Source organism: Homo sapiens, chromosome 8, assembly GCF_000001405.40.
Source record: "Homo sapiens chromosome 8, GRCh38.p14 Primary Assembly".
NCBI classification, from domain to species: Eukaryota; Metazoa; Chordata; class Mammalia; order Primates; family Hominidae; genus Homo; species Homo sapiens.
This window is the reverse complement of record NC_000008.11, coordinates 57,437,948-57,447,353: the sequence shown is the minus strand read 5'-3', so window position 1 is coordinate 57,447,353 and position 9,406 is coordinate 57,437,948. Positions and strand designations below refer to the sequence as shown.

General features: G+C 34.6%; 1 annotated feature.

The window, feature by feature from the left end:
* Positions 4,271–4,772: an enhancer, noted in NCBI's record as "NANOG hESC enhancer chr8:58355141-58355642 (GRCh37/hg19 assembly coordinates)". NCBI's record gives its function as "activates a minimal SCP1, AML or CMV promoter by ChIP-STARR-seq in naive H9 embryonic stem cells {active_cell/tissue: H9 hESC(naive)}" and the evidence as "EXISTENCE:reporter gene assay evidence [ECO:0000049][PMID:30033119]".

Sequence of the window (9,406 nt, the reverse complement as noted above, 5' to 3'; positions counted from 1 at the left end):
TTAAAGTGTAATTTTCCAAACCTTCCTCTTAGGCTCATTAATATTCACCTTTTCACTAAGTGGTTTCATTTATTATACTTCAGTAGAATTTTATATTGTACCAAAAATTATCAATATTTTTATTATTAAAAATTATACAAGTGGTACATCAGAAGAATATTCAACATGATGCATTTTGAGAGACGATTGGTGATCAGCAATGTTTTGTGCCTTGTAAGGGTTATTGTGGCTTTGTCTTACTCACATGACTTCTAACTATTATCTTATTTCTCTGCTGGTTATAGGTACGTATACAGGATCCGCTAAGACTGCTGTTGTGTAAATGTGTTCTGGGTGTGTGACCAAGAAGTGAGTAGGATACAGCACCTGGTAAAACAAGATAACCGCTGCTTCTTAAAGAATCCCTCGCTTAGGAATGTGACCAGATTGTAGGGAACTCAAACAATCCCTTTAAGTGGAAAGCAAATAGATTAGGAAAAAACCACATGGTTTGACACACCATCAGTGGCTTTTCTTTTCTCCTTTTCTGTTTTCTTCTCATGATGTAAGAGAACAGTGTGCATTGCAAACGCAGAGATCTTCCTTGTCCTGCTGCCACTCTAGACTGCCTGGTATGTAAGCTCCCCCCAAATAAACCTTTAACCACCTACCAACCTGAAGTGGTCCACCTTTGTCTTTGGTCTGAGCTTGGTCTCTGCTTCCAGAGGGAGGTTCTCTGTTCTGGCAGGGAGTTTCCCCAACAATGGTGTTTTCCAATATGACAGTGATTACCAACATGTGACCATTTAAATTTAAATTAATTAAAATTAAAAATTGTGTTTTGCTAAAATTTAGTTGCACTAGCCACGTAAAGTGCTCAATAGTCCCCCGTGGCTAGTGCTAGAGTATTGGACACAGCAGAGATAGAGAGAGAGAGCATTTTTGTCATCATGGAAAAATCTATTGGACAGCACTGCTCTAAGAAATAAAATGGATGGGCTATTAGTATAAGAAATAGTATCTGTAAAGTTATAGGTATGAAGATTAGTGGAATTGGTGGCAATTGGAATGTACCAGAGACTCAAAGAGAAAAGATTTTGGTATAACAAGAAAACAAAAAATGGTTAAAACAGTAGTTCATTTGGGGCTAGGGGTAGAAGTAATGTCTATTAATTACAAGGACTGTAACCATGAAGATAAAGGTTCAGGAGAAGGGCAACCTTCTGACCAAAATGGAATAGGACAGGAAGTGCCTGGAAGGGTTACTTGATGGGGTTTTCTACTTATTGCACACAAAAATGTGTTCTGTGGTCCATACACTCAGGAAAGTATGGGCTAACCTGAGTCAGAAGGGTTTCTTTACTTTCAGATTTCCTCTGACTCTTTAGGATTTTGAGAGCCCTAAGATTTATCCAGGTTTTCCAAGCCTTATTTGAATTTAGGTTTTTTTCCTAAAGTAAATCACGTTCTGGGGAAATCCCCTGTTTTAGGGAATGGCTGAGGGCAAGCTCCTCTTTCAATTCCCCCTTGTACTACACTGACTCAGCCTAGCCCTGCTCACCCCCAAACATCTATGTAGCTTACAACACAGCAGGGGCACCACGGCAGTCAGTGAGGTTTTCTTGTTTTGAAAGGTGCTCATGTATCTGGTCATCACACTGTTGTAATCTCTCCTTCTGCCAATATTTCATGTTTTGGTGAACAGATTTGTCTATAGATGGTGCCCTGTCCAAATGATAGTGCTGCACATGTTGCCAAAGTCTCATGGAAACTTTTCAAGCAGGATGTCAAAAATCAAGTTTTATATTGAGAAGGAAAAATATAGTGAAGAGAGGTTAATGATAAGCAGGCAATTAAGGATGGTTGGAAGTCCTGCAACATCTTGAAGAATATCATAAAGTAGCTTGGGAGGAATGACCAAGCACATGAATAGTGGCTAGAGGTACCTATGGCCAGAGCATTCAGTGACTTCTAAGAGTTTGACAAGAACAAGAGAGCAGTTGCCAATATATAACGCCAGAACTCATCTTCACAGGGAATACACAACACTGCTCCCAGTCCCTTGTGGTGCTGGTTTACTTACAGTTCCCATTCCAGGAATGCATCCCCTGGGCTAAGTGTGGGACAAGTAGAACTCATGGGTTATACTTGCTCTCATTTACTGGATGTTTACCATGTGCTAGGACCCAGACTGAGTTCTTTTCATGAACTATCTCATTTGATCCTGACAACAGTACTATAAGGAATTTTTATTATATGCATTTTACAGAGAAAAAAACTGAGGTCAGTAAGACTAACTTGACCATAGCCAGACCTGTGGTAGATTGTAGAGCTAGGATTCAAGCCAAGTTTACCTTCAGAGTCTAAGTTCTTAACACTATACCACAGCATCTGATATATCATTCAACTTTTAGAGCTGTACCCTCCAACTTCCTTCATAGTATGGAGGTGAAGTTAACAAACTATTTGAACTTGATCATAGTGGGCATTTTGAGAGAAGGTTTGCCTCAAAAGAGATAGTTGAGAAAAGCAAAGACATTGGGTTTTTGAAGTATTAGGTTGGAGCAAAAGTAATTGCGGTTCTTGCAATTACTTAGAAAGAGGAAATATCTTTTTTCTAAGCTTGTAGGGGTGTTTAACAGCAGAAGAATGGCCCTGAGGAGACAGAGATGGGGAAATGCTCAGTGCCTATTTTATCATGACTCAACTTTCCTCCAGAGTATCTCCATTTGAATGTCTCTCTGACACCTGAAACTTCACATTTTGAAAACCAAGCTCATCATTTTCCTTTCAGTGACAGGAAACTGATTCTTCACTTCTACACGTTTCCAGAAAACTTTTATGCTAACTTAACCTTTTGACAACACCTTTCACATTCTCCAACCAGTCTACCATTTTTTCAATTATTTTATCATTAATAAAATTTTTAAAGTTTCTTCTTTACCATTTCCACTTTATCAAATTAACTCATGTCTAATGAGAAGTATATCAGCCTGTTTTTGAACTTAAGATAAAAAGACAAAGCACCATTTTACGTGCTGATGTCAGGAACTTACTGTATCACTGAACTGGCTCCTAGAAGCCGCTTATACTCTTAGTTCCTCCCTAGAAGGACAACTTATTATCAATTACCTCAAAGCCAAATCTATCTTTTTAGCATTCAGATAGTTAATGCCAATAATTCTACTTTGTAGATTCACTTGTTCATATGATCTGGAGGTTGATTTGTGAATAACTTATTGTACCAAAGGCTCCCAAATGCGGTCTAGTTCAAAGTTGTGTGTTTTAAAAATGTGCTGCATTAAGCTAGAAGTTACGCTTTGATATTCAGATTCTTTCCTAAAAATCTTCTAGGCCTTTCGTACTTTAGCGAGATAAACTTGGACTACAATCTAGAGATACTTTGAACATTTGAAGAGATTGAGGATAGGAACTATTTGTAAGTGTATGGCAGGGGCAATGCTACTAAAGCACAGTTGCTTATTTCTAATATTTGTTCAGATATTTATTGTTTTAGACACTTGGAATTAATCAGTAAATGAAACCAAGTATCTTTTCTTATGAAGCACCATTTCAAAGAGAAACTAAAAATAACTATTTGGAAAGGTACATTTTAAATAATAAAGCCAAATATTTTTTAAAATGCAGGAATTTTATATCCAGTGGTGTGTTTATAAGTATCTAACAATTGGCTCTGGAATAAAAAGAGATAGATCTAACTTGTAGTGTTTGCCAATTTCTATGGTGTAAATACTCCCCTATGGCCAATCTCAGCTAATAACAATGTCACTGAATGCAAAGTTAGAAATAGATGTGAAAATTCTGAAACCCTTCAGACTCATTTTAATATAAATTATATTGTTAACTATCCCTAAATTTTAGAAATATTTTTTCATCAATTAACAGTAATTACCATTTACTGAATCCTTAATATGTATAAGATATTTTAATGCATTATCTGTATAATAAATCTCCAAAGTAGACATTATCCCATTTTAGAGATGAAGGAACTGAGACTTAGAGAAATCGAACAATTTACCTGGAGTCTCCCATTAGTAAACTGACAATTTAGGATTCAAATATATACCTATTTGATTCAGAATTAATATGTTGGCTGGGCACGGTAACTCATGCCTGTAATTCCAGCACTCTGGCAACATAGGGAGACTCCTTCTCTAAAAAAACTGAAAAACTTAGCTATGCATGATGGTGCATGCCCATAGTCCCAGTTACTTGGGAGGCTAAGGTGGGAGAATCCTTTGAGCCTGGGAGTTATAGGTTACAGTGAGTTAGGATAGTGCCACTGTACTGCGTGACAGAGTGAGACCCTGTCTCAAAAATATATATATATATTTTTTTCATGTTGAATACCTTTGGCTTATGAACAGCTTCAAAACAAAATCTAATCCTCAAAAATGGTTGATTTAATTAATCAGTTCCCTAGAGATTTAGGGCTTAGGACTCCCCTCTAAAGTAGGTGGTAATTTCAAAGCAATGGAGTCAGGCCATCTGGTATAGGTTTATCTTCAGCTGCTCCTAGGAACACCATGACAATAAAGCACACCTCACTGGCCCGGCAGGTGGGACCCTTGCTGTTTATTCATATTATGATGGCTCCTGGGTTGTTTACTACTATCGTTGGTGGGCACTTGGCTGTGTAGGGTCAACTCTGGGCAGTAAAACAAAAATACCTCTCCCTAATCCTGCCTTTAAGTAGCTCAGTGATTCCTGTAGAATCGTAGTTGCAGCCCCTCACAGGGGCTTATAGCACAAAGGTTGAATCACTCTAGTGAACCCTCAAAGACAATTGATATTTTAAGCAATTATACAATAATATAATTTTATTACTGGATAAAAATTTAGAGGTTATCTAGTTCAATCCTTCGTTAGAGAAAAAAAAAAATAGAGGCTCAGCTGCTTCCTAAAGGTTCTACAAGGATCTGGCAAACCAAACTCAGGCGCATCTTGATCCAAGTCAGGCGCTCTTCCCTCCATGCCATGCGCCACTTCTTGATGATGTAACCAGCATGGGACAAGTCCCCAGTGACCACACATCTTACAATTTGTTACCTTGGGTTTATCAGGTAGAGCAGTATAGAAAGCTCTCTGGATTCTCAAGCTTTGACAACACAACTAATAAAAGGCACAGTGATAGTATCGCATAAGAGTTTTTACATAATTTGAAAATTCCTTTACATGCACTATGTTTACTAATAATAATTCTTTACATGTTTATAACATTTTATAGTTTGTGAAATACTTTTAAATGTATCATCTCATGACTATTAAATGTATTAAGTAACTAGGAATTATATCCCCATTTTATAGATGAGGAAACTGAAGTTCAAACCCCTCGCCACACAGTAAGTGACAAAGGTGGGGCCAGAGCCTAAAGGTCTGACTCCTAATCCAGTCCTCTTTTCTCACAAAATCTAATAAGAGGATTCAGAATAGCAAACTTTGATAGGTTCATGTCAAAGACACAGAGCTCTAATTTAGGGATTTTATCCAAGATTATATACATAATCTACAGCAGTTGGTCCAAGACCTAAATATTTCAAAGATATTCTTTTATTTACAACACAGGACTTCCCCACCCTTTGTTAATCCTGTGAACAATATGTTATTTATATATACTAAAAACATACTGGTCTCTCCAAGTTTGACAGCTCTCACTCTGCTAGGCGGTGCAACTGGAAAATCTAATATCTCAAAGGCGTTTCATACTCCTGCCAAATTCAAATTGCATGTGTCTGTCTATTTTTCCACCCCTTGTGCAATGGGTTTGAATCTTTCTTGAAGGTGCCTCTTCAAAAGCAGAAGTAATAGACATTCTTTCTCTTCTGAGCCTTATGATGAAATAATTACTTGGTGGTTAGCAAACAAAAGCTTTCCTGCCAATTTTGAATTACTCCAAGAAAAGAGTCAGAGGAAATTTCAAGTTGCAGCTCAGAATCTGACCCTCAAAATCTTATCTGAATAATAAAAGACTCTGGTTAAAGAAGAACATTCTATTTTCTTATAAAAGTGGACAGCGTATCTTCTATAGAGCATATGATTTTCTCTTTAATAAGGGTCTGGAGAGAGAAAATTTCTAATATTTACCTTTAGGAGATCATCACATAATTGAGGGTGGAATGACTAAATTCAATGTCAGAACGTTTTGCTGTTATTTAACTAGATGATAGTAATTTGTTTTACTATCTGTGAGTATATCAGAAATGTTTATTGTTGTAAGTTCCCAAAATTCATTTATATCTTTTGAATTTTAAAGGACTCAAAGCAGAATTCATTATTCCCAATGCAATTATGAAAGAAATACATAGATATTGTATAAAACGTGGAAATACAGAAAGACAAAAAAATAAAAACACCCCTGAAAGGCATCTGATATATTATAAGGATGCAGTTGAAAAAAGGTTGGATAAACAATCTTTCCTTTTAATTACATACTTTTTGGGGCTAGTATTTTTTTGTGGGCCAGCTACATTATGGAAGTAATTCTAACCTCCCAAATCTGAGTTGTATAGCATTTGCCATCCAGTATCTCAAGATACCTCAGCACCCCCGTTGCATAATATGTAGTTTTATCTCAAGGGTCAAGTTATGTTTATGGTCCCTATGTAAAATGTAGTTTTTAGACTAATTTCATACATGCTTATACACATATATTTCATATATATATGGGTGGGGCTTATAATCATGCAGTGTGCAGATTTTAATCAATTACCCCCAGCTTCCTCAGTGAGTTTCGTCTCAAAGTCTGGAGCCCCTGTCAACTGGGTGGATAGGAGCAAGTGGGGACTTGAGGACCTATCTGTTTATTCAAGCTTCCCAATGAGCGCTACTTCAGCAGAACCCCCTCCCGAACCACTTCCTGCTGTTCCTCACTAAAGATTAGATATGTGTGTATATATATTTATATATTAATATATAAATATATAATTTCATATATTTTCTATATTAATATACAAATATATAATTACATATATATTTATATATTCATATATTCATGCATATTGATATATATGATATATCAATATATAGGTATATTTTGATATATCAATAGGTATATTTTAATATATCTATTGATATATTTGATGTATCAATTTGATATATCAATTGATATATTTTGATATATTTGATGTATCAATTTGATATTATCAATCGATATATTTTGATATATTTGGTATATCAATATATAGATATATTTCATACATAGATATATAAATATATAATTTCATACATATTCATATATATTTCATATATATTCATATCCCAATGAGGATCACTTCAGCAGAACCCCCTCCCCAACCACTTCCTGCTGTTCCTCACAAGAGATTAGATGTATGTGTATATATCTATATATTGATATATAAATATATAATTTCATATATATTCATATATATTTTTATATAGTCATATAGAAAGATATATTTTTATATATATTTATATTTTATATTTATATAGATATACTAATATATACTTACATATAGATGTATAAATATATAATTTTTTATATATTCATATATAAATATATATGAATATATACAAATAGTGTATATTATTTACATATATAATTAAAGTATTATTTCATATATAATTATATATTATATATTTTATATGTTATATATAATTAATAATATATACTATTTCATATATATTTTATATCTATATCTGTACAAAATTCTGCTTTTGGACAATTTCCTCAAAAAGCACATAGAATCTCTACAGACACTTTGAATAACTTAGGAAGGTACATCATGGATCTGTTCTAATGGGGACAGAGCTGCAAAAGTCACTTTTACTGGTATGAGTCTGAGGCTCAAAAACATTTTTTAGTACAAAAACTCTGGAAATAGGCAAGGGAAACTCAAGGCTTACTAAGTTGATGAGATTATCTCAATGAAGCAAGCAAATATTAGACCTGAAATGAATATATGGGGCTAACCAATAGCCTAATTAAATAATAACTATAATGCATGGTTTTAAGTTGACAATATTTGGAGACACATTATGTTACCCTCTAGAATCCTTTTGGAACTCAAACTATTATACCAAGAGAAATAATTCTAAAACCTGTATAGAAAGCTGGCATTTGAATTGATTCTGCATGACAGAAATAAGTAAGGCCGTCTTGCTTGTCTAAATGCTTTGTTGAATTACACAGCCTCTTTCTCCGTGCCAGTTTGTTTGCCAGGTTTTATTGATTACTTGGTACAGTTACTTTGAACTTTAGTTTTTGAGATTTTCCTGCCAATAATGCTATCTAACTTTCCAAGAAATTCTTTATTCTATGTTTCAGATGTCATCAGATTTCAGGAGTTTGTTTGAGATTGAAAAGACCCTGAAAGATCTGTCTCTTTTAGCTACAATATGGAACTCTACCCAAGATAACTGAAAACCCAGTGGCATTTTCACCTGCAGTAAAGAGCAATTTCTGATTCAAGAAAGATTTGTGAAATGTAGTAGGTTGCTCTCCCAAGGGGACAAAATCCTGAATGTACTCATTATGTAATGATGAGTACACACCTTCCATTAAACTTTTCTGTGTCCTGCTCTTAAATATGAGATCTAACGATTGCTGTACATTTGAGGAAATGTTTCCACATGAAAGCATAAAGCTAGTAACTAAAAAAAAAAAAAAAAATCACCCAAACACATCTGATATATTCCTAAGGGTGCAGTTGGATTAACGATCTTTCTGATTACCCACTTGTTGAAGATAGCATTTTTCTCGGGGCCAGCTATATTACAGAAGTAATTCCAACCTTAGAGGCTAGAGGAAATGAGGAAATGAGTCAATTTTAACATGAGTTAATGTTAATATCCCCAGAGAGATGAGAAAAGATATTGTATCCACAAAACAAGAACAGAAATTTAATTTTAAAAAACACGTATAGTCAGAAAACAAGAAAGACTTCGCTTCTGGGAAATTAAAAAATAGTTTAAATTTTTTTTTAATGTCAGTGAGAAGTTTGTAAGATAAAGTTAAGATATCCCTCTAAAAGGAAAATGAAGAGATAAAGATGGACAAGAAGAGAAAAAGTAAGAAATGTAAAAGATCATCCAGGAAGTGGAACATCTGTATAATAGGAATTCTATGAAGAGAAAAGAGTAAGGAAGAAATTATCAGGGAAGCAATATTAGGAAATTTCCTCAAACCAAAACAATTTAGTGCTCTGAATGAAAGGATTCATTAAGTATTCAGTACAATACACACCAAGTTTAGAACAATACATATTATAATGAAAGTTCAAAATATCAAATAGAAAAAAAGAAAGTCATAAAAACTTCTGGAAAGATGAAATGAGGCAGATACTAAGGATTGAGATGCCATATTAGAATGGCATAGACTTCTCAAAAGCAGCAGTGAAGGCCAGAAGACAGTGGAGGAATGCCTTCAAAGTGCTGATTGAGGAGGATT